General features: G+C 37.4%; 1 protein-coding gene across 3 annotated transcripts in view, besides 5 other annotated features; it reads right to left on the bottom strand.

Moving 5' to 3' along the window:
• RBBP6 (RB binding protein 6, ubiquitin ligase) overlaps nt 1–25,364 on the bottom strand; it is a 33,298-nt gene extending 7,934 nt beyond the window's left edge. For 2 of the 3 annotated variants that reach the window (NM_006910.5, NM_018703.4), the window contains exons 1-14: nt 24,138–25,364; nt 18,668–18,767; nt 15,949–15,985; nt 11,373–11,417; nt 9,227–9,315; nt 9,013–9,109; nt 8,483–8,622; nt 5,253–5,425; nt 3,215–3,318; nt 2,769–3,106; nt 1,635–1,731; nt 1,429–1,507; nt 1,266–1,320; nt 65–133 (exon numbers count right to left, since the gene is read on the bottom strand). In NM_006910.5, coding sequence (NP_008841.2) covers nt 65–133; nt 1,266–1,320; nt 1,429–1,507; nt 1,635–1,731; nt 2,769–3,106; nt 3,215–3,318; nt 5,253–5,425; nt 8,483–8,622; nt 9,013–9,109; nt 9,227–9,315; nt 11,373–11,417; nt 15,949–15,985; nt 18,668–18,767; nt 24,138–24,303 — 1,589 coding nt within the window. In that variant the 5' untranslated portion in view covers nt 24,304–25,364. Of the gene's footprint in view, nt 1–64; nt 134–1,265; nt 1,321–1,428; nt 1,508–1,634; nt 1,732–2,768; nt 3,107–3,214; nt 3,319–5,252; nt 5,426–8,482; nt 8,623–9,012; nt 9,110–9,226; nt 9,316–11,372; nt 11,418–15,528; nt 15,986–18,667; nt 18,768–24,137 lie in introns of those variants that run through there. The other variant, NM_032626.6, reaches the window with a different exon arrangement.
• Nucleotides 23,714–24,706: an enhancer, noted in NCBI's record as "NANOG-H3K27ac-H3K4me1 hESC enhancer chr16:24551545-24552537 (GRCh37/hg19 assembly coordinates)". NCBI's record gives its function as "activates a minimal SCP1, AML or CMV promoter by ChIP-STARR-seq in primed H9 embryonic stem cells {active_cell/tissue: H9 hESC(primed)}" and the evidence as "EXISTENCE:reporter gene assay evidence [ECO:0000049][PMID:30033119]".
• Nucleotides 24,707–25,701: an enhancer, noted in NCBI's record as "NANOG-H3K27ac-H3K4me1 hESC enhancer chr16:24550550-24551544 (GRCh37/hg19 assembly coordinates)". NCBI's record gives its function as "activates a minimal SCP1, AML or CMV promoter by ChIP-STARR-seq in primed H9 embryonic stem cells {active_cell/tissue: H9 hESC(primed)}" and the evidence as "EXISTENCE:reporter gene assay evidence [ECO:0000049][PMID:30033119]".
• Nucleotides 24,918–25,097: a silencer, noted in NCBI's record as "silent region_7287". NCBI's record gives its function as "represses an Ori minimal core promoter by ATAC-STARR-seq in GM12878 lymphoblastoid cells {active_cell/tissue: GM12878}" and the evidence as "EXISTENCE:reporter gene assay evidence [ECO:0000049][PMID:35858748]".
• Nucleotides 25,368–25,417: a silencer, noted in NCBI's record as "silent region_7286". NCBI's record gives its function as "represses an Ori minimal core promoter by ATAC-STARR-seq in GM12878 lymphoblastoid cells {active_cell/tissue: GM12878}" and the evidence as "EXISTENCE:reporter gene assay evidence [ECO:0000049][PMID:35858748]".
• Nucleotides 27,128–27,422: an enhancer, noted in NCBI's record as "tiled region #12060; HepG2 Activating non-DNase unmatched - State 1:Tss, and K562 Activating DNase matched - State 5:Enh". NCBI's record gives its function as "activates a minimal TATA promoter and a strong SV40 promoter by Sharpr-MPRA in HepG2 and K562 cells {active_cell/tissue: HepG2 | K562}" and the evidence as "EXISTENCE:reporter gene assay evidence [ECO:0000049][PMID:27701403]".

Raw genomic sequence — 27,704 nt, 5'->3', positions numbered from 1 at the left:
TCTTTGGTGAGATATATATATAAAAAATAAGATGATTATTTTCCAAGATTTTTAGCATGCCTACCTGTAGCAGCTCCTCTCCCCTCTTCTAATTTGTTGTGGTGGAGAAACCAGATAGCCAAGTTTGTTGGAACTGTGTGGGAGAAAAAAAAATAGGCTCAAGTATTTCTCCATGGGTATAATACATGACCTTTCCATGCATAGCTGTTAAGACACCAATTTTAACTACTCTGAAAACTTTTTCCTACTCCCCAGTTCTTAAATTTGTTTCGGATACAGAGCTGAGTAAATATTATATTTACTTAAAACTAACTTTCCCCCACCAATTAACTGTATCATAACAATAACTAGACCTCAAAATAGATTACTTTATGTAATATTATATTTTAATTAGCACTCTATAAATTACTCTGTGAACTTATTGTTATATACAAGGAAAAGAGCCCTTTTGTCTGCTGGGCACAATGAAGTCATTTTACATGTTAAGGTAGGTAGTGTCATTCCAAATCCAAACGAGGAAATGGATGTTAGGGAGTAAAACCACAAGACCACTGTCATGCAGCTAGGAAATGAAGGAGATGGGATTCAAACCCAAGTCTACCTGTTTCTAAATCCTATGTTCCTTCTACTGATACATCCTGCTAGTAACTCATACTTTTAAGAATATATCAATTTTCAATCGGATTATATAAACAGAAATAATTATATAACTAAAAATACATTAAGTAAGTCTGCTGATTTTTAATGCCATAAAATATCCCACAGAGAAAATCAAAGTTCTTTGTATTTTAGGGTGGCAAGAACAACTCGATTTCAGACAAAAAATTTTTGTTTGGTAGACGTTAATCTTATTATGTATTTATGTACTCAAATCAAACTTTGATCATCCAAATTAAGGGTAGAAAAAGTTAAACCTACTAGGAAAATAACTGCCACCATATTTAAAATAACTTTTCAAGTAATTCTTATCTATTCATTAAACTGAAGTCCTGTCAAGATCCCCATTTGTTGGATATGAAAGTAGAAAAAAACTTTTAAAATTTTGTATTTTAGAAAAGATTTGCTCATTTAAAAAAAACCCTCATATAAGCTTGAATTTTGACATTTTACATAAAAAATGTTAATCTGGCACATGAAAGTTTACAATAAAGAGCAGCGACCCGCTGCCTAGTTTGGACCTTCCATTATCTAGTTTGCCTAGTTTGGACCTTCCATTATCTAGTTTGCAGGCAATCATCTGAAGATTATTGTAAACATCTACTCACTGTTCCCAGCCTGGTCGACCACCACCTGGACGAGCAGTATTTATTCTTACTGGACCTAGAAACAAAAAATAAAAGCAGTAGGTAAATACAAAATTGCACATTAAATCAAGCTAAAATTATTTTTTAAAGGGAAAAAGGTCTAAACCAAAGTGATCTTACTCACCAGTTGTGGGGATCAACTGTCCATGCAATAATGACTGTCCAAGCAAAGATGGGGTTCCAAGAACAGGCACCTGGTAACCCTTTAGAAACAACCACAAATAAACAGAAATAGTTAAAAAAAAAAAAAAAAAAGAGGTAAGAACAAAGCCAGAAAAACAAAACCCTGCTGTAAAAAAAATCCCAAATTAAAGCACCAGTAAAATTTACCTTCTCTTCCATAAGAGCGGTAATTGCAATTGAGGAGGTTCCCTTTGAGTGCTCTGATGCAAGAGCTGCAGCTGGCAATATTTTATTATCAGAATCCCTTTAAAAAACATAAATTATAATACATTAAAAATTATCAGAAATGGACAATTAAGAGTAAAAAAGTTTGCTGCTGTTTACCCATCACCTGCAGTTAAGATGAGTTAAGTCAAAGATGATGAATACTTCTGAGGAAAGTGAGAGAAGGCTGAAACTTTGAAGAGTTCTCTATATGTAGTAAGTGGAAAAGTAAAATGAAGGACCTCCTTAAGAAGATACTACAGTTATGACAGAAATCAGTTGCAAGAATAGTAAAACTTAAAATCAAAGTCTGGCCTATGAAGACAAAAATCCCCCTAGGATTAAGAGTTAAGTTTTAGCTCTAGTTCTACCACTAAACTGAAAGGATAATCTTGGGTCAGCCATAGAACTCTCTGGGCCTATTTCCACTATCAACCAAATAAATTCCACCAGATCAGTGGAATTTCTTAAATGTAAATGTAAAGGTCTCATCCTAAAGATTTTGCTTCAGTGTGTCTGAAATGGGCCTCTTACACCTTTTTTTTTTTTTTTTAAAGAATTTATGAGACATTAAACTACATGGACAAAAGTCTCATTTCTGAAGTGGTAGGCTGTGAGTTTTCACTATTCTCCTACATAATAATTATGCTCCAAAACAATCACTATTCCTGACTTCTCTACTTACCTGTGTTTTTACCCCCTCTTCTCTACCTATCTAAACTGTTCTTAGTTCTACTCAAAACTACTCCTATCCAAAACTATCATTATGATCACAAGTGAATTCTCCCACCTCTGTTAAGTTCAGAGCTGTTATGGTATATGGAACATTCAACGTTTAATAGGGGCTGGTTGGCAACCTGTGTAGTATTTGACCTCAGGATGCTTAATCCTCATTTGCCAAATCAATCACGTTTGTTTTCCTCTTCCCCCAATAAGACTAAGTCACTTCTTACAAGTCATCCCACATTACTGAGCACAGTGGTCCACTAAGAAAGCTGTTAAAAGTGATAACCAACAACAAAACACTACATCATTGACCTCATTTGGTTTCTAACAGTGAAAAACACACAGGCTTACCGAAAAGGTCCATCTGATTTTTCTGAATGAACTGATATGGATACTGTTGCAGTTATATCAGGTACAGGAGCTGGAGCAGAAGACGGATTTCCAGACACAGGAGGGGCCAAGGAAGACTGATTAGAAGTTAATGAAGATATAGACGGAGCTGGGTGAGTTGATGAAGATGTCACTGGAATCATAAGAGGATCTTGTTGTCTTGATATCGGAGATCTCATCAGAGGTTGTAGGTTCCTCTGAATCAGTGGTCTCGGAGGTGGTATTGGGGGTGGTGGAGGAGGTAACTGTTTTCGTAGTCTTTTTGTATAGCCAGTTTCATTTTTGAAGTTATTTACAGCCTACAGATACCAAGCATAATAATGCAGAAAAATGTTATGCAGTATTCACTGAAGTACAGTTAAATCAGTTAAAAAGAATTTTTTCATAAAATGGATACAGACAGTTACCTGTCGTAAAAATTTATTGGCAATTAAAGCATCAGGAGAAACATCATTTTGATGACACGTCGGACATGTGTGCTCATCTGATTCCAGGAGTGCTGTTCTTATACCTATGTATAAGATTTCAAATATTAATAAAAGCATAGTAGGAACTCAAAGTGTTTACGAAATGAATTAAAAGGATGGTCCACATTTGTTCAGTTACATTACTGTTTTCCAAGCATGTCGTGCTAATCATTTCTTAGATTAAGAAACTTAAGTAAAATCTCTCATCTTACAGTACTCCTCTGCTCTTTTCTATATGACCTATGCTACGCTAAAAAGAAGTCACAGCTGGGTGTGCTGGCATGTGCCTGTAATCCCCACTCCTGGGGAGGCTGGGACAGGAGAATCACTTGAGCCTAGAAGTTCAAGGCTAGCCTGGGGCAAAATAGCAAGGATCCCCCACCCCATCTTTTTTTTTTTTTAAACAAATGTCTGAATTGAGAGCAAAAGCACTCTTTCTCAAAGACTATTCTTTGTTTAGCTAGTAACTGGAATATTGTAGAAAACAAAAGAGAAATATAAGATAGTCTAGAAAGACAAAAATTTTACATGGCTAACTTGGGGTTTTTATTCAGGCAAGGAAATGAGAGACCTACAGCACAGTACGTGGGAGCAACACTAAATTACAGATACGAAGATTAAGCTTCAATGTAGTAAAACTCCAGTAATACCAAGTGGTATGTTAAATCTAAGATATAATCTGAAACAAGTCTTTAGCAACCTCTTCTTGACCTTGGTCTTCACTGAAGAGGTCAAAAAATAAAGATTTACAGGTATCCAAAGGGGATGGGTTCCAGAACCCTCTGAAGATAACGTCTGTAGATGCTCAAGTCACTCAACTGCCCCAAAGGCATAGTATTTGCATATAATACTATGTACATCCTCCAGTATACTTTAAATAATCTCTAGATTGCTTGTAATACCTGCTGCAATATAAATGCTATGTAAATAGTTGTTATACTCTTATTTTAAAATCTGTATTAGTCTTTACTATTATTTTTTACTGTTTTCTTGCCCCCAAATATTTATGATCTGTGGTTTTGAATCTGCAGATGCAGAACCATGTGTATGAGGACTGTATATTTCAAAACTACCTTTAAAAATGAAAAAGGCCAGAGCAGGCTTGAGCAAATTTTCAGGTAACACTGATTTCTTCTGTGTAAGAAGGCACAAACTTAGGATAAGTGGCAGGAAACAACTAAGTGCTAATATAAGTGATTTAAAAAGTCACAACTGCATGGTAAATGCTGGGTAATAAATATGTCTACAGATGTCGGGCGCGGTGGCTCACGCCTGTAATCCCAGCACTTGGGGAGGCCGAGGTGGGCGGATCACGAGGTCAGGAGATCGAGACCATCCTGGCTAACACAGTGAAACCCCGTCTCTACTAAAAATACAAAACATTAGCCGGGTGTGGTGGCGGGCACCTGCAGTCCCAGCTACTTGGGAGGCTGAGGCAGAATTGTGTGAAGCCAGAAGGCAGAGGATGCAGTGAGCCGAGATTACACCACTGCACTCCAGCCTGGGAGACAGTGAGACTCTGTCTCAAAAAAAAAAAAAAAAAACAAAAACTGTCTACAGGAATCAGGTGTTAATACACTTAGAAATATTAGGATAAGCTATTCACAATCCAGGAAAAAGATTTAGATACCACTTAAAAATATTTCCAGAATTATCTAAGGCCCAAAAAAGTTTTAAAATTCTGGATACCACTTAAAACATACAGGAAACAAAAAGTCTATATTAAGAAAAACACCTCAGTATAGTCACCCTGATGAAGGTACAGAAGTCAATTCTAGAATTTAAAAGGACAAACAGGTTATTGTTTAAAAAAGATACAGCAAGAAAAACAGACTTCTCACTACTTAATGCTCATTGATCAACACTTGTCATCAACATTATTTATTTTATTATTAAAACATATGAGGTTGGGAAGAGCCATTCCAAGTAAATACAAATATTCTAAAATATACATCTTCCAAGATTCAGCACTTCTTACATTCATCACAGTAACTGTTTCCACAGCAGGGAATCACAACAGCATCAGTCATAATATCCTTGCAGATGAGACACAACAATTCATCTGGGATAGGATCATCTTCTTCTGAGGAAGAAGATGGCTCCTCTGGTAAGAAGGGAGGTTTCTCTTTCTTCCCAATTGCATATGCTTCTCTGTAAAAGAAAGTTTTCATGTTTTACCATTGTTAAGAAGGCAGAGTACTCATGCTACATGTTCTACTATAACATAATGGGAACACATAATTCAGCGCAATGCCAAATTAGTTTAGACAAGCACCATATCTTCTAAAATAAGGGAGTAATTATGTACAACCTAACCCTAAACAAAGACACAAAAGTCTAAACAAGCATAACAAAAAGAAGCAAAGAAATGCTACAAAAACAATAAAAGGATCTTAGAACCCGTCACTCTTAAGAACTGAGGGCCAGAAATAAAGCGAAATGTTCTGTGCCATAAAGTTCTATTTAAGTGACAAAGACAAGACTTGAATTTAGACAACACCATAATCACAATTTTTCCTACTCTATCAAGTTTCTTGAAAAAAATAAAAATGAAAATTAAAATTAAAAATCCCAAAAAATCTCCCCTTCTCCATAACCCAAAAGTCTCTCAAACCTGTGAAGGTATTGGAGTAAATGCCACAAGACGGGAAATTAAAATTAGTACTGACATTATACAATTAAGGAAAGATAGTTCAAGGGAAATATTATGTCATTACCACACAAATAATTAATAAAATGAGATACCAAAACCCATGATCTACTTATTAGTATTTTAAGAGAGGTTAATCAATTTATAGTCAATTAAGAAGCATTAGTGACTTAAATGATCAAAATCGGTGTTACAAAAATGTAAAGTAACACCTCATTAGACATTCTAGGTCCAGTTTTTTGTAGAAATGCATTTTGCAGAAATGTTGGGCATTAAATATAGTATTAAAAAATAAAAATAGCTATTCTCAGACTTGTCACCACTGCTTCTACACCCCCATCTTCTCTGTAATCAGGCAAATTTGCAAAACACAGGAATCCCTAGAGAAACCCTTTCTATTTCATTCAGGAACAGAGTGTGTTTATCTCAATGCTGAAAATGAAAGAATCTCGGCTGTACAGAGTAGGGTACCTTAGGTGTGTTATTTGTGTTGCAGTTGCTCCATAGACATCACCACGATTCCAGAAATAAGTATCAATTTGCTTATGCCCCATTGTTCCCAATTTGTGAAAGAGGAGTCTCCCACTGCCCAAAAGAGAGAAAAAAGAAAAAAAAAAAAAAGAAAAAAAGAGGAGAACAGAGGATAGAAAAAGAAACAGAAGAAGAGTCTGAGTTGCTTATCAGTGGTGTTAGTGAAGAGGGTGAAAGTTTCATTTAAAATATTTAGATTCCCATCTTTCCCCAGTATTTGCTGTGTGTCTGGCACAATTGGGCATTTGTATTTCAGCATTCAAAAGCAATGAAGTTAATTATTAGTTAGGGTTTACAGGTGATACTAATTTTTCCAACACAAATTTTTACTTAAAAATTTTACATAATATAGATGAAGCGGTCTGCTCTTAATTGTGTCTGTAAAAATAATCAATTTCAAGCTAAAGTTATTTGGAAACATCTATGAAATGTCTCTGAATTAGAAACAGCATAACAACAGACTGTTCAATGATGAACCACAAAAACACAGGATGGTGACTGATAAAAAATAGATGGGGGTGAAGTTGAGGAAGTGAGCAGGGTTGGGAGTTTAGGAAAACATTCTTATCTGTGAACGAAAACACTATTTGCTGAAGTACATATTCAAAAACACAAGATCTTTTCAATATCATTCTATGGCATAGCTATTTTCATCATCATCCCCACCTGCTCACTACACTACACTTCAACAATATTTATAGCATGAAGCTGAGGAACTGTTCTTATATATGTATGTATTTTTTCACTGAGAACATGAACACCTAATTCTGTAAATTGATGCCCTGAGGATCCCCTAACTTCACAATCTCTTGGACAACCTGTTAAAAATGTAGAATCAGGGTCTTATCACATAACTTCTAAATCAAAATTGGGGGCGGAGCAACCAGGATCTTTTTTTTTTTTGCCCAAGGTCCCTCTACCTGGCCAGCCTTTTAACATACTTTTGTAGGAAATTCTTATGCTCAACAAAGTTAGAGAACAGCAGTCCAAAGAACACTTAATATTATGCTGTATAGTATGTGAGATCACAACTGTTGAAGGTAATCAAAAAAGTAACTGACTACATTAATAAAAGCAGATAAAATGGGAGGTTATCTAGTTGAACCCTGCCACTGAATTTTCATGTCTGTCCATTTCATTAAAAACTGGTTCATAATATAAAATCTGAATACACATTAAAAATGGGCATTAAGGGCCAGACGTGGTGGCTCATGCCTGTAATCCCAGCACTTTGAGAGGCCGAGGCGGGTGGAGCACAAGGTCAGGCTAACACGGTGAAACTCCGTCTCTACTAAAAAAATACAAAAAATTAGCCGGGCGTGGTGGCGGGCGCCTGTAGTCCCAGCTACTCAGGAGGCTGAGGCAGGAAAATGGTGTGAACCTGGGAGGTGGAGCTTGCAGTTAGCCGAGATTGTGCCACTGCACTTCAGCCTAAGGGACAGAGCGAGACTTGGTCTCAAAAAAAAAAAAAAAAAAAAAGGCATTAAGGTGTTTTATAGAGCTATAGTTGATCTGAACTAGTGGTTTATAAAATAAACCTTACTTGAGAATCTTAAGACTCACATGGCATATCCAAACTTATTCAAGCTACTTCAGTATTTCATTTATGCCTGACACTTAAATTTGCCTCAACATCATGCAGAGCTTTTATTCTTAAGCCTCCTGTTTCTCAAAATGATTACAATCTGTTTTGTTCACTTAAAAATGCAAGTAGCATATATAATAAGATTATGTGGGAGTATGTATGTGAATGAGGAAGAAAGCAGGGAATGACAGAAAAAGAAAAAATTAGAAGACTACAAGGGAAGTGGCACTCACTGGTAACAAAAAATCCCCAAATCCATTTTAAATTTGCTTTAAATGGAGCAGACTGCAGCCTCACAGAAATGCAAGATGTAGAGACTAATGGCTTTGGTATACAAAGTTCTCAAGGAATCCAAGTAGCAAAGTTACAAGCCCAAGATTAAAACACTATACCCTGGGACTGACTGGAGTCTCCACAGGTCATACCTAATTTGCATACTTACGCATCTATAGTTGGTATTGCATATTTTCCAGTGTTGGTAAGCATTGCACCTTTCATATTAGGATCTTTCACTTCCATCATGAAACTTCTGGGAATTCCAGTGCTCTTTTTAATCCTAGGACCAGATTCAAAGTTTTTATCCTATTCAGAGGAAAAAGGAAGAGGAGGAGGAAGAGAAAAAGCAGTTATCTTTATTTAATAAATTAGCTAATGTTATACAGTGCTTACTATATTACTTGTAGTGCTTTACATATGTGATCTCATTTAATCCTTGTAACTGCTATGTGAAGTACGTACTATTTTATCTCCATTTTAGAGAAGAAAAAACAGGCTTATAGAGATCAAGTAACTTGCCCAAACTCAGCCAAGTGCCAGAACCAAGATTTGAAGCCTGGCAAATTTGGCTCCAGAGACCATGCTCATTTGCCATTGTCTACAGAAGGCAGTATTAACCAAGAAAAATAAGATAGCTAAGGAACAATTCCAAAGGAAAAAAAGTAAGATATACCATAGTTTCTGCTTTGAACTTACCCCATTTGTTGGGCAATTCTTAATATAATGTCCAGGTTTACCACAACGGAAACACGTGTAAGATGGAGGTGGTGGACCTAGAGGTTTCTTCATGTAACTAAAAGGGGGAAAAAAAATTACATGTATACGAGGACTTTGAAAAAATAGTGCTTTTGATTGGGGGGGAAAACCCACCCCAAAAGTTCCTATTAGTATAAAATATTTATGAACTTACTTGATTGGGTCGTATTCATGGCCAGATTGCGACATCATTGCTTTAATTTTATCTTCTTCAGAAGCATTGGCTTCAGCCAGATTGGCAGTCTGTTTAACAGGTAATTATTTGACACACACATTAGAAACACATTTAAGACCACACAGCCAAAGACAACACCACTCATCCTGTAAAGAGCAGTATCTAACTAATCTTGCATAAAAACAGCTATTTACACGTATAACCTGGAAGAGGCACTTGGGAATTCCTTAGGTAATTACATGATGTTTAGGTGTCTGCAAGGCTGAAGAAAGTCATTCTGGGGGCACTCAAACCTTAGACCCTGTTTGTACCTTACATTAAGACTTGCATACTACTTTTCTACAAGTTAAAGACTGATATTAAGTTAGAATAGAAACACTTGATGTTTTAAAAATAATTCAAGTGTCAGAGCATTAAGACTAATTTATACTTACAATGTGGAGGTAGGGATGGGGGTAGAATGACTGAACGTATTATGCAGCAGATATTAGAAGTAGAAGGCTCTTTAGGTAGTGATGTTAGTTTCAACTCAAGTGCAAAAGATGTGCATTGAGCATTATAATTTTAAATTAAACTCTTCAGATAAGTTTTATGAATTTCATCTTTGAGGTATGATATACAAGGTCTAGATGTAAGCAGGGTCTAAGGGAGTGATTTCTAGTTAAGTTGAATCTTCAGGCATTTAGCACTCATATCAGCCATTCATTGGGGTTTGTCTTTACATTCATCCACAAAACAAGCAACCAGTTTTAACATTTTATTGTAATTTTATATACAAAGAATGCTTAACATTAACAGAGCTTAGAACAACAGCAACATTTACAGAAAACTGGATTACAGATGTTTAACAACTAATTTGTTTGAACCCAAACATTGTTTTACAAATACCTGTAGTTTAAAAAAACAAAAAAAAAAAACCAATCCCCCAAACCGCCCCAACTCCTCCCCACAAAGAAACAATGGTAGGAATAGACCAAAAACTCAAATATGGTCCTTACAGTACATAAGAATAAAAACAGTAAACTATAAACTTCTAAGTGTTAACTCTATACTAAACCACTTTGCATTAGAAAATTATAAAATAGGATGGCTTTAGTCCACTTTATGTTTTAGAATAATCAATTTTAATGCTTAGTTTTCCCAGAACAGGAGCTTAAAAAGCAATTTGTTACTAGGACATTTTGTCGGGATACAGTCTAGGGGAAAGGACATAACAAAGCCAAGAACAAGATAGGGACAGCACTAATGGAAAACCCATCTTTTCATTAATCTTGGTTGCTAAATTTGGTTTCACATTTCTGATAGCAGGGAAAAAGGATTTTTGGAAAACTGGACAGCTTCCTTCTTGGCCCTCAAAAGTCTGCCTATTTTTTTTTTTAAAGGCACAATTTGCAAGCTAAATGTATTGCTTTAAAAAGTAATCCATCACTAGTGCTTTCCCAAACAGAAGATACACATTGTTGAGCAGAAAATGCAAGCAATCTTATCGCAAAACATGGCATATACAGTGATTCAGGAGGTAACAATTTGCCCCTCTGCCAAACATACACATTGGTATATTCCTGCAAACAGCTTTACACACTTACACAATTCATGTAGTCTGTGTTCAAACAAATTAGGTTGTTCAAAACTTTTCCTAATGCAGACAGACTACAAGTCTATAGCATAAAGAAACAACTGCATCACATTTAAAATATTGACCTTCATGGGATCAAGTCAAATATTCAAGAAATAACCATGCAATCGTCCGTGTAAAGGAAATCTTCTGTTTTGGCTGCTTAAAAAAGGTCCACATAATTTATAGCCAAAACCAGGAAATTCCTCCAGAACCTTGTTAGTTTCCAATGTATAATTAAACAAAATGTATGAGGGAAAAAAAATAATTAAGTGTAGCTTCAAGTGTTTCTTCTGTCTTGAAGATGAACAATACTCCAATACGCTGAGGCTGACAAAGTATTCCCCTATCTTCTCAAAACAGCAACTACTCTTTACAGGATAGTAATAATATGTACAATGCTTTTGCAAAATATGTCCTCCCCCAACCCCTCTTAAAAAACCGTTCCACATAAAAAAATATGATGTTAGAAAAAAACTTATATTTTCAAGAATATATATATATATATACCTTTGTAAGCTGGGCCAGAGAAATAGACGCGGAAGAGTCATCAATCTGTTCACAAAAAATTAAACACACATTCAAGTTCCAAACTGAAAACATCTTAAAGTGATCATTTAGCCCCTATTGACACCTTAATGTTGAAATATTGGGCATTTTCTTAGTTTTCTAAAGAATGTTAAGCTTGAAAATGTAGCTCAGCCTACTTCATTCTTCTCTAGATATTTCACACAGTTATAAAAAGCTATCAGTTGGAGGGGAGGAAGAGGGGACTCAATTAAAATGAAAAAATGTATCACACAGAAAATCTGTTCAGAGTGTCGACTGAATACTAGGAGTCCCATATCTCCCTATGGTCTCTAAATGTGACAATACTCAAGACAATGTACACTGGAAGAGAGAATAAGAAATCTAATTTTCCTGCAAGGCCATTATACAACATTGTAAAAACAAACAGCCCTTTAAGGGCTCAGATAATTGCTTTAATAAATAACAGCTCCCATATAATTGCTACTTCTTTAATTTTTGAAAACATACTCTTCAGTCTGAGTAAGTTTGTTTATTCTCTCATACAAAGAGTAATAGCTTCTTGTCAAAGAAACCACAGCTTTCTCAGGGCAAAGATGTTAAGTCAAAAAAAGGGAAAACAATGGCACCCTGAGGAGAAGGCCAACAGAGCTGTCACTTATTATGATGGACTCTAATATTTGAAGAAAGTTAATTTAATCACACAGAGCAAGTGTACATAAAGGATATAAGAGGGCTTTAAAAAAGGTATTTTAATGAGCCTTAAGCATTCTGCCCCACTCACTAACTGCCAATTCTCTAACACTGAAGAGGGGGAGATAACTGGGCATATTTGAAGAGGCATCTTTGTGTAAAAGATGTATGGAGTCAGGAGAGAGCCACCTTCATAAACTGTTCTGTGCAAAGAGGAATAAAACATTTCTCTTTCAAAATAAAATAAAAATAAAAATGTATTTTAAATTGAACACTAATTTTTTTCATTTGATCCTCTGAAATGATTTTAATATCAGTTTTTAAAAAAATCTTTAGCAAACAATCTTGAAGATATGATTTCCCTACAGCTTCCTACGTAGTAAGTGGGTTGCTTAGTTAACATGTCGTAAGGTCAGAACTCTTCATTTAAAATGGAGAATGTAACAAGATGTCTGGATCAAAGAAAAAAGTCTTCATCAGGTATTCTGTTCCAGAGAACCAAAAGTTTTAAAATAAAAGCAACATGACTTAAGAGCCCCAAAGACAAATGTAACCAGTCTCAATATGAAGTTCTTAGCCAATGCCCACACAGTAGGGATTCAATAAATGTAAATAAAAAATAATGTTGGCTAAATATAAGACACATCTCACAAATATCTTAGGGTTTTAAAAGTTAATTTGATGGATATTACTGGGATGTTTATTCAGACAAAAGGTTCTTTGCTCCACATTAAGGAACTGACTATAAAAGAGTTCATGATGCACTAACCCTATAACTTAATGCATATCTACATAATTTGCCAATGGGTTATCATTTTTGTCCAGCTTTTAAGTATTTTTTTCCTTTAAGAACTAATCTCAAGTGGTAAGTAGAAAAAAACCTCTAAATAATACATATCTCTTTTTATCTAAAATAAGTTCTGACCTACTCAATCTATTTTAAAGATTTTATACCAACCAGAAGTTACTTGATTTTAAGTAACAAGGACTAGACAAATTGCTGTCAACCATCATCTATACTACATTCTAACCAATAAAACAAATAGTCTTTAAAAATAGCCCATTACTATCTAGAATAGAATATAAATACTGATGATTTCCTTGGAAAGAAAACAATTATATTAACTTTCTTACCACTGGAACTAAAAAACTTAAGAATAAAAAAAAAATCTTCCCACTCCTAACACTTAAGATATAGTATCCTTTTTGTTTTTATGCTGGGCTTTTGTGTGCTTTTAAGCTTTCTGCTAACTTATTAGTATTATGTATTTATTGACTTTGAAGTGGTTTTAGATATGCAACTGCACCTAAATCACCTTTTTACCACCAAGTAATCACTATTGCCCCTAAATATCTTATAGTCCACAAAGAAGTCAAATTTACCTCAAATTTAGAAAAGCAAACAAATGTTTCCTACATATAGCAAGGTGTTCAGAAATGAGCAAAAAATGTTGACAAAGAATGGTTTAAAAATGATTAGGAATTTGTATTACTAAACATCAATAAAAATAGTGACTCTTGGTAAGATACTAATGGTAAAAAAAAGTCTGCCACTTAAAGTCCTCACAAAACGGACTGATGCAGACCGTAGACATTAAAATTAACCCACCTCCCTGTACCTAATTAGGGGTCTTGTTTTGGGAAGCAAGGATCTAAAATCTTTTATGCCAATTATATTAGCTTTTTGAAGTTAAAGAATCCTATAAAATACCACTCTGATATTTAGTTAGCAAGAAGAACATCCAGCTTTGGGGTATCAACATGGATGGATGACTAAAAACAAGACTGGGGAATATGGAAACAGCCATCCATTCTTGATTAGAGTTCGCTTCCATTACCAAAACTATACATTTACTTTACTAATCAGGATAAGAAAAATTTGGCTTAGCGCCTCTATTTACTTTGCTTTTGTGAATGTGTACAATCCACGTGACTCTAAATCTCCTAAGATGGGCACTAATTATGCTTGATGAATATATTCTCATCTTAAATGCCAGCAAATGTACCCCAAGCAAATAAATGATGGGGACAACAAGGTTATCTAATATCTCTATTTCAGATAATTCTACCTAAAAATTAAAGCCAATTTTAAAGTATTAAAAAAAAAAGAAAAGAAAAGAGAAACCTAAATAAGCTTAAATAAACTGCTTCTTATAAATGTAATACAGACATGCCGGAACACACAAGGCTAAAAGAATGTTAACTTTATTTATGAACATGTGATTTGTGTTTATACACATGCTAATAAACAAAAAGGAAATAACTGTTTTCAAGAAATAAAACTTCATCTGAATTAGTTTAAATACTATATAAACTGTACTTTATACAAAATGTGTTACATTAACTACTACAGTCACCAGGATAGTCAATCTAATTTATGCTAGCATTTGGATACATAAAAATCAGTTTTAAACCAATCACCAGCAAAACATAAGCTTGGACAGTTTTTACAGCATTATGCTTAAAAAAAAAAAACAAAAAAACAAAAAAAAACACCCCATATCCAAAAAGAGGAAAAAAAAACCCCAAACACTAAGACTTTTGATCTTAGAATCACTGTATTTAGTTCCACAAGAACTAAAGGCCATATACTCTAAAGAACAAGTCCAATGTTCAGATATTCTATATTATCATGTTTAAGATCCAATGATCCAAGGTTAGTGAAATGCCTCATATACAAAGAGCAATAGTATTTAAAAAGTATATAATGTGAAATAGCAAGCAATACCCTTGAATTCTAAATGAAGATTTTAGACATCTTGCATTGTGTACAATATCAAGCCTGGGCATTAAAATGTTTAGAGAACCATTACATTTACAGAACCCAATTATGATAGACCTGTGTTATGAAACAGATGCTTCACCCCACAACTTAGGAATGCTGCTACTTTTTACTTAAGAGCTCAAAGTTAAAATGGTATCACAAATTAAGTTAATCTGTGATTACAAAAATTAAGCTTAACTTTCTTCAAACCAGTTATCCTGGTTAAGGGGAGTTACCTCTGATAAGGTACAGCTTTCAATGGCCTAAAATTAACGCAGCATTTTAGTATAAGAGGGAAATATTTTAATTTGGACATCTGCACTAACTAGATAGAAGTGGAAGATCTCATTAAACTTTGAAAACAATATAATCAGTTTATATAAACTCAAAATCACTAAGACACTTATATATTCATAGGGGGCCCCAGGTTCAGGTTTCACTTTATAGTACAGATGTAAACAAAAGAAGGAGCTCAAAATGCCAAATAAAGCAAGACTAAATAATAAAGCTGCATCAATGGTCTCTGGAAAGCTCTTTTCTATGATGTGTTTGAACTTGGAGAAAGCATCAAACTTTAATATAAGCTTTGCATGTTGCTAATGCGTTTTTGGAAGCCATAAATCAGGCAGGAAAAAAAAAACTAACAAAAACTAAGTGATACAACGTGAAAATGGCAAAATATACACTCCAAACATTTTTTATTGCAAGAAACAAAAAGCACACAACAGCCTGTACATACATACAAAATACTAACTATAGACAGACAAATGTAGAACATGTCATCATGTTCCTTAGTGTAAAACCTAAACGATCTAAAAAGGATCATACATTAACTGTACAACACAGTGTCATACAGGGATAATGCTATCATATTTAATATGAAACAGTGTTACGGGCACAAATTACCCATTTCTACAAAATAAGTGTGCAAGTGATGCCACATATTATCCATATTCAACTGAGCTGTCATCAAAATACATTTTATTTACAATATGTACTATGATCAGTTGGATATTAAGTTCTAAAATGATTTACTTCACTGCTACATTATAAAGGTAAAAGCAATGTGTAGAAAAAGTGTGAGATTGTGTTTTTACATACTGCTTTTGTAGTTGCCATCGCTGGTTCAGTTCGACTTCTAAAACACAAAATAAAAACAAAAATTAACATTAGCTATTTATGAATTTTTGTGCTAATAAATTTTAACACATTATCTTCAATAATACATTTTTAGGAACCTAATTTTCCTTTGGTATAAATATTTAACAGCCAATTTCTGAATGAATAAATTACTCTGATTAATCTTTACCACCTTTGAGCAGTTTTAAGATAGATTTGTGGTTTGGAAAAAAATTCCATACTAGGGAATTCAAAAATAGGTGTACCCTGCCACTTAAAACAAATGTTTTCTGAAAGGTAGTATAGGGATTTTATGTTTAGAAACGTAGTTTATTCTTAATAAACTGAAAATTTTAAATTATATAATTTCCCAGTTTCTGAATGCGTAAATTTTCACACATCAGGAAGACTGCTGTTGTTAACATTTGTAATTTGAATCCCTGAGAAATTGCTGTGCTCCCAAAACTAATTTTCAAATCTGGAGGGCCAGGCTGATAGCTATTTTCATTTTTCAAATGTCTCAAAACAACAATCAAGGATTGAACAAGAGGCCAAGGTGAGAGGATCACTTGAGCCCAGGAGTTTGAGACTAACCTGGGCTGTAACATAGTGACCCCATCTCTTAAAAACAGAAAAAAAAAAAAAACTGAACAAAAATTCTCACTCCCAGAAAAACACAATATAATCAGAGTATTTTAGTTAAAAGAACTGACTTAAATGGCTGTGTAGAACTGGACAATTTGATGTTTAAAAGACATAAACCCCAAAAGAAATTATTTTAATCCACACAGGAAAGGGGAAGAAGTTGAGTTGCTAGATTATAGCCTTTTAATGCTTAAAGTTTAAGGTATCTTGACTATAGAGAAATGTTAGCATCTAACAGGAGTTTCTAGGTGTGTGTATAATTTGGAATTTGAGATAAAAAAAAAACTGAGCTTTGATTTTCTAGTATTTGCTCAAAAAAAAACTGAGATGCATTTTATGAGGCAAATTTATTACAAACAGAACCCTATATATTGTACATTAACATATAATTCTGTGTAAGAGGCAACTTATTTTGCCATGTACTTCAAATAATTCTTAAGAGTTTCTATCAAAAAATCTACAGAAAATACATTTGCCATTTTTTAAAAAGCACTTGGTAAATTAAAGTAAAATTTCACACTGGATTGTAGGAATTAATTCTCCCCATAAATTTATAATTCTTAGGCTGGGTGCGGTGGCTCACGCCTGTAATCTCAGTACTTTGGGAGGCCAAGTTGGGTGGATCACCTGAGGTCAGGAGTTTGAAACCAGCCGGGCCAACATGGTGAAACCCAGTCTCTACTAAAAATCCAAAAATTGGCCAGGCTTGGTGGTGGGCACCCATAATCCTGGCTACTTGGGAGGCTGAGGCAGGAGAATCGCTTGAGCCCGGAGGCTACAGTGAGCCAAGATTGTGCCACTGCACTCCAGGCTGGGCAACAGAGTGAGACTCCATCTCAGGAAAAAACAAAACAAAACAAAACAATATATATATATACACACATATATATATAATTCTTAGAATCATTTAAAGTTAAGAACACACACCATTAAAAGTTCACTTGGCAATTACAACAAGGAAAGTATTCAGCTTTTTAAAGTAGCTATTATATGGAAGATACTGCACAAAAGGACCTCTAAGTGTTAAGATATGGAATATAACTTTACAACAAACTAATGAGAAAAATCTTAGAATACTTGCCCATATGAGGTAAAGCTCCAAGAAATGACTTTATTTTTACCTTAATTTCAAGAACACTTTCCATTCCCTAGCACTGGCAAATTCTAGAATTTTTCATTGACTCAAAATAATTTGTTCCAATTTCAAACAATACTACCTAATTCTAAGTGAAAATCACTACTCTTTAAATAACCTATGTTGCTGCCCTTTTCACATATTATAGTTCTGCTATCACTACTGAAATTGCAAGAAAGCAGAGAAAGTTAAGGATATAAGGTTTTAATCCTGCCCCAGGTTAGTGAATACCAGCTCCGGACTAGTTGTGAGACTGCTCTCTTCCTACTCCAATAATGTGCATTTAGCATGTGCCAGACACTATTTAATTCTTACAACCCTCTAGAGTTAAGTACTCACGTCCCTATTTTATTTTTGAGGAATCTGAGGCACAGAGACTTACCCAAGGTCCAAAGTCACACAACTGGTATGAAGCAGTAAATGGAGTCAAATCTAAGCCTGATTTCAGTGCCCATGATTATAAATCCTATATACTTTATGCCTCTCAGCCAAAGCCCCTTATTGATAAAGAGTAAATGTTAGCATTACTGAATACTCTTGATGCTGTCAAAATATTTAGGACCGATGTCTACAACACCAAATTTTTGTAGTGAAGAAAACTGAAGGAACCCCCACAAAAAAAAGTAGTCAAAGAAAGGCACAGAAATAATGTGAATATCACTTTCTTGTATCTGTAAATACTGGCCATATGGAGAAAAATTTTTCCTAATAATGGCCCTCTCACAACAGGCTAAGTCAATTTAACTGGGGGAGGAAATCAAAAACAAACGAACAAAGAAACCTACTATCCTCACAGTCTTGAGAAGATGTATTCATTAAGGTTAAAGTAATGAGTTCAGTTCTAAAATACAGTTTTTTCTCACAAAATTAAAAAAACTAAAAAAAGTCTATTTTGAGAAATACATGAGATTTGATACTTACATAACATATGTCTTGCTTGTAGATTTAACACCTCCAATAGGAATTCTTCTAACAATTACAGAAGAATTCTTAGGAATCAGAGCATTATCATCAGTATATTCTGTAAATAAAAAGACAGAATTGAATTTCCATTTGGGGATTTGAGTGCGTAACCAAGAATTAGAAAACTTCAAATATAAATTTCATGGGAAATGACTTTAAATATAATAACTACAAGTTCCTTGCAACTAGATTACTGATATTGTCAGAACAAACATCCAAAGCCCTAAGAGGGCTTCTTTTCAAAGGACAACCAATATCATCAGCAGGTTCTTGGCTCTAGCACTTCTACTTTTGTGGAACTCCAAATCTCAGTAACACCGTCATTCTTTAGTTTAGTCTGAAATGCTGAACATGTGAATGGTGAAAAAGCCGTTATTCGGAATGAAGATATTCTGTCTCTCCTAGTCCCTAAACGTTAGTTGAGTATTACAATCCCTGCATTCACAGAAATTATTACTGAGGAAGATAGACTAAAAATTAAATTATGACGTTATGAATAAAGAGAAAATGGTTTTCTAATAAGGAATGAATAGTGGAATACAACTTCAGATAGAATGTTGATTCCAAGAAAGCCCCTTGGAGGAACTTCTACTGGATACTTAAAGACTGAGAACCCAGCCAGATACAGGAAAAAAACTGGTTGAGGACTATTTCAGGCAAAGGATAAAAAAAGCATGTAGAAAAATGATACGAAACGGCTTGAAGAGCCTAAGAAAATAAAAGAAAAGAATGACAGAAAGGTATAGACCATACACTGATTTATATTTTGTTTTGAAGTGCAACAGGAAGACACTGAAGGATTTTAAGCAAAGTGATTATTTGCTTTTTGTTAAAGAAAAAAAGACTACTGGCCAGGCGCGGTGGTTCACGCCTGTAATACCAGCATTTTGGGAGGCTGAGGGGGGCGGATCACGAGGTCAGGAGATTAAGACCATCCTGGCTAACACGGTGAAACCCCATCTCTACTAAAAATACAAAAAAATTAGGAAGGTTTGGTGGTGGGCGCCTGTAGTCCCAGCTACTCAGGAGGCTGAGGCAGGAGAATGGCATGAACCTGGGAGGCTGCAGTGAGCCGAGATCGCGCCACTGCACTCCAGCCTGGTGACAGAGCAAGACTCTGTCTCAAAAAAAGACTACTGTGGCACCAATGTGGAGCACAAACTGTAGGAGAACAAGAGTAGAAACCAGGGGACTAATAACCAGGCTGCTAAAAAATCCAGGTAGAGATAATGACGACCTGTGTTATGATGTGAGAAATAAAGACAGAATGTTTGCAGGTAGGATTGACAAAGCTTGCTGATGGACCGAATATGGGGGAGATGAAGGAAATGAAGAAGAAAGAGGAATCAGGCCAGAGGAATCCCTGGGTTCCTGGCTTCAGTCATCGGATAAACAGTGATGTCACCTTCTGGGAAAACCAAGAGGGAGAAGAATGGATCCTATTTTTACACTCCTTGGGCTATTTGCAATACTTGTATAAGAATGAAATTAAGAAAATGGACCTTAACTATGGTAAAAAGATTTGCTACAGAAAGAATCTGTAAAATTACCAAAAAGAAAAATTACCTAGAGATGCAAAAATGTATCCATCTCCTTTAATCACACAACCAGGCCTTTTTATTGTCATTAAGTTTACTTGCTTCACTTAAAGTTACTCTGCACAAAGTGACTATCTCTGTTCTTCCGATTATTACGCTTACCACATATGTAGGCATATTCGGCTTTTAATGTATATTAATTATTTTTAGTCATAATGCTAATAGTATTGTTAGAAATGAAATTGTTCAGGCAAGGGTTATTTTCTATATACTTCAAGTAGAAGGCACTATCTCACAGGCATTCAATTAGAGGTAGGCAATTTCCTAGATTTAGGCATGCCAATGTAGGACTATAATCTTTATCTTGGACAGTTCATGATAGCCCCAAATTCCGAGGAAGCTTTGAGTCAGAAAAACTGAGAGCATGGGGTGACTAGATTTTTTTAAAAGTTAATTCTAGAAATAAAACTTTGTGTCAAACACCTGACAGGAAGTTTCTGAATATGTAACAACTCAATGCACTCACAAGAGCTTTCCAAGACAGCTTATTAATTTGATTAGCACCGTACTGTGTCAAACTAAAAGGTGCCTCAATGCCCTTCAAAACAGATGTTCTAACTGACTTTTTAAATACCTGAATTACAATGATTTCTTACCCCTCAAAGTATCTTTCTAGGGGTAATAAAGACACTTTGGGGGTATTTCATTTAAAATACCTCCTTAACAAGTAGTCTGTTGGCTTCAAAAGACCCTTTCTGCTTGCCAGTTTTTTTGACCCCAGACATGAAAGGCATGGATGAAATGAAAAACAGAATGAATCCGAGAAATGGAGAGTAAGAAAGGTGACAAGGGTCATTTATAAACACTTCATATTCAGCTTCCAAACCTCTCACACTTTAATTTCAGAACGAAGGATGTTTTGTTTTTTAGGGGTCGGTGTGCAGAAAAGTTTCTCATATATAACAAAGATTACTTGATATTCATTTTGAAATACAGTCTAGAAACAAGCAGGATTCTTGTCTAAAATCCATGGAATTCTGACCCAAGCGTTTCAGTCTTATCAAGATTTAAGGGTCCTATGCCAGGCACAGTGGCTCAAGCCTATAATCCCAGCACTTTGGGATGGCCTTGGGAGGCCAAGGCAGGAGAACACTTGGGCTCAGGAGACCAGCCTGGGCAACATGGCAAAATCCCCATCTCTACCAAAATAAAATAAAAAAAAATTACAATAAATTAGCCAGGCATGGTGGTGTGTGGCTGTAGTCCAGCTACTTGGGAGGCTGAGGTGGGAGGATCACCTGGGCCTGGTAGGTTGAAGCTGCAATGAGCCAAAATTGTGCCATTATACTCTAGCCTGTGAGGATGTGTCTCCAAAAAAAAAAAAAAAAAAGATTTAAGGGACCTAAACATGCACATAATTCCAAAACTGTAAGGAAATGTTTTACAGAAACATGGTAGATTAGGGATTTTAAAATTATAAGAATGAAATTAAGAAACTGGACCTTAACTGTGATAAAAAGATTACCATAGTTTTCTTTAGTAAATATGTTGAATATCGGTGCTAAAACCAAATGGCATTCTACTCAACTGCCTTGTGACATTGGATACTATTTCCCATAAAACTAGTTAAGTAGCTACCATCAATATCTCTTTCTCTCTTAATTTGAGGACTGCATAAAATACACATTTTCTCCCTCAAAGCTCCCTTTTCTTAACAAACCGAACATCAAAGCTTTCTCCAATAAAGGGCAGTTCACATAAATATAAAAAAGAAAATGTGCTGGGCAAAAACACATTCCTGGCTTTCTGGGTTTGAATTACGTATCATTTATTTCCTGGGCTAGGAAAAAAAAATTGGTTACACAAAGTCACAAAACTCTTAAATTTCCGGACAGGATTCTTTTAACTATAACTTACCCAGTCTAAAGTTGCATTCACATGCCTGTAATCCCAGCCCTTTGGGAGACCCAGGTGGGTGGATCACTTGAGGCCAAGAGTTCGAGACCAGCCTGGCCAGCAAGACAAAACCCCATCTCTACTAAAAATACAAAAAAAAATTAGCTGGGTGTAGTGGCGCATGCCTGTAGTCCCAGCTACTTGGGAGGCTGAGGCATGAGAATCGCTCAAACCAGGGAGGCGGAGGTTGCAGTGAGCTAAGATGGTGCCACTGCACTCCAGCCTGGGTGACAGAGTGAGACTCTGTTTCAGGGGAAAAAAAAAAAAAAAGCTGCATTCAATTGTTGGGTCGAAAAGATGGATAACGCCTAGCCCTAATGATTCGATTGTGTAATACTCCAGTAAAATATGAAACCTGAATATATGACGATTAAAATTGCCTTAATATCCTTTAATTCCATTCATATTGTCTCTCCTCTCATTCATAAATACTCAATATGTCAAGATGGCCCAAACTTCTTATAAACCCATCTGTTCTGTGAAATGTGACTGTTGTAGTTAAGGGATGCTTGTGAGGCACTTAAATAAAGCTATTTCTCAACTGTTCATGACCACCACCAGTTTTTCCTCTCCTTAGGCAGAGGATTACACATAGCTCCAATTATCAAAGGGTATGACACTTGTTTTTAAAAGGTGGGGAAGCAGACAGTATTTTCACATAATATCATTTGAGCAAATAAATTCTTCCTTAATATTTTTGAGTCATGATATGCCAGCACTGCTGTTCCTTAACCTAATACAATTATACTTAGGTCTGCATTGTAAATGGAAAACTGGTCTTCTACATGACAAGATTTACTCTACCTAAACTACAGGCTGGAGGTGGGGGACCTCCCATTTCAACTAAAAGAATCCATGTCACACCTTAAGTGTGATAAAAATTTAGTGACTAAAAAAATACCCTAACCTAATTGTAACTTCACTTCTTCTCATTCCATCAGTAACTTTTAGAACACCGAACTGCTAAAAAATACACATCAGCATTACTGATCTGAGAAAAAGAAACCAAAACAAGTTCAGAGTCAGGAAAGACTGCTTGTCACATTTATCTACTGTTAAGTTCCCAATATTATCAAAATACTTTTGAAAAGGAGAAAGAATCTAACGATTCTTATCAGTGGCTTATTTGTACTCTATGGTAGCAGCCTATTTTTCAGTACCTTAGTATCAACAGTCACGTAAAATCTAGCAACTACTACTTTAAAAAAAATCAGTACTTTTGATCTTCACCGAATTGATAAAGCTTAAGAGTAATGTGATGAACTAACAGTTTAACTACTTAATTGCCGTATTACTAATTCTGGAATTGACACACAAGACAAGAGCGGTGACATCAGAACATTTCAAGATCCAAAAACAATTCCAATACTGATTAAATCCTCAAAAATATTAAAGTTCAGATCCCTTATCCACAACACAGGCAAGCAACTCCAAATAAATAAATGCGAGGAGGGAGGAAGGCAGGACATAAAATTTGCCATCAAACTCCACAATGTTGTTAGGTTAGAAAATTGTTTTTTTGGTTTTTTTTTTGTTTTTTTTTTTGCTGATTGAACAAACAAGCTTTGCACAGGCTCTCCTGCCCTCCTGATGGAAAATAAGTTAGAAAACGCCCTAAGACAAGCACTCAAAGAGTCTAGATAGCTATCCCCCTCTCCTCCCTCCCTCATTTTAAAAAACAGCGAGAAGAATAATCAGGCTTCCACGTTTTGGGTTAGCCTGTTACAGATGACCCAAGTATGCAGAAATAAAATAAACCAGTGAAACTCCAAGGCCAACTGCTGCAAACCTTGGCTATCAATGAAAGTTGTATCCAAAGTACTAGAACGAACAGTCCCCACTAGAGACATAATGGCGGTTAGCTTCCTGCCAGGCACCTTCTAGCTAGTATCTCTCTCCAGCCACCAAATATCTTAAGACCAAGCGGCCCTTACCTTCTTTCGTCTGCGCATTGGTGATCTGCAGGTCGCAGTCGGCAGCTTTCAGCTTCTCTCTCCCCATAATCTGCTTCTTTAAGTCGCAGAGGGAGATGTGGAGCCCATCAAAGGTGACGGTATCATAGTTGAGTTTAGAGGAAAATTTATAATGCACACAGGACATGGTGCCAAGGGATTCCTAAGGTTCAGCGAGGAGACGTGGACACTCTCAATATACGTATATTTATAAACTTTAAGAGCAAAATATGTACACACAAAACACTCAAAGACACCGAAGGACCCTAAGGCCTCAGATTAAATACCCCCCAACCACAAGCAGGGGTTCGTCAGAACAATAATCCAGAGACCCCCCGATACTCAGAATCACTTCATGGGGGAGGAGGAGGACGAGGACGGGGAAGAGGGGAAATCGAGAATCCGCCAACGGGCACAATGTCACCCGGCTGGGTCCCCCTCGCTCATGCTAAGGGGCCGGCAGAGACGGGGGGATTGGCGGTGCAGTCAGTAGCGGTCAGTCCACACGTTAAGAGTCCGAGCGACCCCACGGGGTCAGGGGTCCATAGCGCGGCCGCACCTCCCGGCGGGTCTCTCTCTCCGTGGATTGGGGTGACCCAGGCCCCGGGAGAAGGTTGAGGGGAGAGGGCCTAGGCCCGGAGTCCACGAGCGGCCTCACGCCTCCTCCTGGCTTCCGGACGACCGGCGTCAGCTTCCCCAGGCCCAGGCCCAGGCCCCCACCGCACACAAACCCCTGGCGCCTGCTCCCCGGAGGCCACGAGCGGCCCCACGGCCTAGGCCGAAAACGCGCGGTCGGCGGAGGAGAGGCCTTCCCGCAGGCCGCCCCCGGCTCCGCCTCCCCCCGCCGCCGCCGCCGCCTCGGACACAAAGCCGGCGCTAGGCCTCGGCGAGGCCTCGGAGCACTTCCTCACCACCCCGGGCCCCAGCCGGCGGCCGGGTGGCTTCGGCGGACCCCGGGGACACCGCCGAGGCTCCCTGACGCTTCTTCTCGCCGGATCCTCCGCGCTTCGCTCGCCTTTCGTTTCCGTCGCCTTGAGGCCCGGAACCGCGAGAACACGCCCGCAAGCTGCTGGGCAGCGGCTAGGGCTTCTCCGGCTCCCTTTTTGTGTTGGCCCCCTGCCGCTCGGGGGCTCTCACCGAGCGGCGGCGACACCTCCAAGCCAGGTACTATGGCGGACGCGGCCTGGCTTCGGACGAGCGCCCCACTGCGGGGTCTCTTAAGCAGGGATTGCACGGGCGGCGCGCGCGAGGCGGGGCTGGCGTGCGCGGATAGGCGGGCCGAGAGGCGGGGCGGCTGACGTCACAAAGCGCACGGCCCGCCCACGTGACCCCGCGCTTTGTGACTCCAAAGCGCGGAAACTGAAAGAGCAGGGACAACGGGAAGAACCATCTGCTTCAAAAGGGAGGGGGGTTGCGCGTCAGGAGGACCGGCTCACAGGGAGGCTCGGTGGGGAGAGCTCGCCTTGCAGGGGCTGCGTGCAGTTTCCACTGCAAAGTGGCTTGCCTAGGGGTGGCCGGCTAACTCCCCCTTCCCCACAGGCCCCGTCAGCTCCTCTAAGCCTCCCAATTTAAGTGAGCATTATGGTTGCTACGCAGAAAACTATGGTTGCTATGCAAGCGCTCCCTAGCTGCTGCTTCCAATAAACTGGCTACCCTATACTCTTGACAAGTGGAAATCGTGGAGCAGCCGCTGCCAAGAACTGATAACAGCCACCAGCACCATACAGATTTATTGAGCTCTTACTATGTGCTAGGCACAGGGCTGATCGCATAACAACATTGCCAGGCTCAGCAGCCACGTTGTCTGGGTTGGATCCCTGGCTGTGGGGGCTCTAGATTTAACCCCTCTGTGCCTGGGTCTCCTTGGCTGTAAAATGCCATTAAAAATAGTACTTGGTTTACTTGGATTAAATAAATGCACATAAATCCATAGTCTAAGACCATGCCGGTGCATTGACGTGGCTCAATGCACCGAAATATTAATAGCTGTAGCTCAATAAATGTCAATTTAACAACAAAAACCCTACGTGGTCAACATGACATTATTTCCGATTTATAGATGATGGAACTGAAGCTAGCAATCATGTACTTTCTGAATTTGCAGAAGGGGATGCCTGCTCAGTGGCAGGGTCCCGATTCCATTCCTAAGCGCAAATGCCAGGAACAGTGACAAGAACCCCCTCAGTAGATTGGAATTTTTTTTTTCCTTTGGGCATGGGGACGTTATTACATTCAGAAAAAATCATAATATAATAAAATTACATTCATAAACGATAGTTATTATCGTTTACAATCCATGTTCCTCATCCTCTCTGAATTTTACAGGCTAGGCTCAGTGAATTTAGGCAACTGAGAATAAGATCCTATAGCCGAGAAGTAGCAGAGTTTCCCAGGGACTTCCTGCAAGCACACTCCAAATTCTTACTGAACTTGATTTAAAATTAATCACCATCCTGCCAGAAAAGCCTTCCTAAGGCCATCTTTTTAAAATAAGATGGCGATCTTTCTCTATCCCTTTAGTCTTTTCTTCCTAGCACTTGCAGATAGTTGACAGTTACACATTTACTTTTTAATTATCTATCTCCCCCAACCCCTACCTTCGGCTGACAATAGGAATCTTATCTTTATATTTGTTTTTGCTGTATCCTCAGCTCTTAGAACATAGTAGGTGCTCAATAAATACGTGCTGAATAACTGGATACATTTTTACGTGATCCATAGAGATGTCGTGGCAATAAAATTTTGGCCGTAGTCAAGGGCAGCTCTAGAGATACCATTACAATTTAACTCAACCACACACATCAGTACTTTTCATATATAACAAGTTTCTTCCACTTTTACCTCTTTGTTATTTCACCAAAAACTTATTGCTGCCAGGTCCTCTTCAGGTTGGTTGCTTTTTTCTTAAAAGCCTCTGTGTGAATGAAAGGGCGAGGGCTATCTCTAGTGAAAGAAAAACTCGACGAGAAAATTGCAAGCCGTCATGGAATTCACTCCGAAGCGGTGAATCTGTTCCTTTTGCCCGTCTGTGGCCGACCCCTTTATATACTGAATGCCTAATTTAATCAGCGTGGTGCATCATGGGATCTCAAAGTGGGCCACACCCTCAGGATATGACAGAGTGGATCATAACCTAATCTGCAGGGGGGGATGTCCTTGGAAAGAATGTTGTCTATTGGTCCAACCGTTCTCATCTGCCAAAAACTTTGTTCAACCTTGATATTCTCACTTACAGAGGCCTCACTTCATATCACATCAAACAGGTCAAAATGCATTCACCACCTGCAATAAGCCTATGACTTGAGTTGCCTGACTAATTGACACAATGCTACATTTGGTCCATTTCACTGAATTCCTTTACTAATCTTCATTTTGCAGTTTTCTTTTTTTAAAAAAAAAACTTTTTATTTTCTTTTTTCTTCAGTGAGCTGAATTGTAAATTTTGCCGTTTTCTTTGGGTAATATGGAGCTGGTCTCCCTGACGCTTCTCTCCCTACCAATATTTTTGTAAGCCCTGAAAAAGCCTTTTGTACTATCCTACAGTGAATG

This window comes from Homo sapiens, chromosome 16 (assembly GCF_000001405.40).
Source record: "Homo sapiens chromosome 16, GRCh38.p14 Primary Assembly".
Lineage (NCBI taxonomy): Eukaryota > Metazoa > Chordata > Mammalia > Primates > Hominidae > Homo > Homo sapiens.
This window is presented reverse-complemented; position numbering and strand designations above follow the sequence as displayed.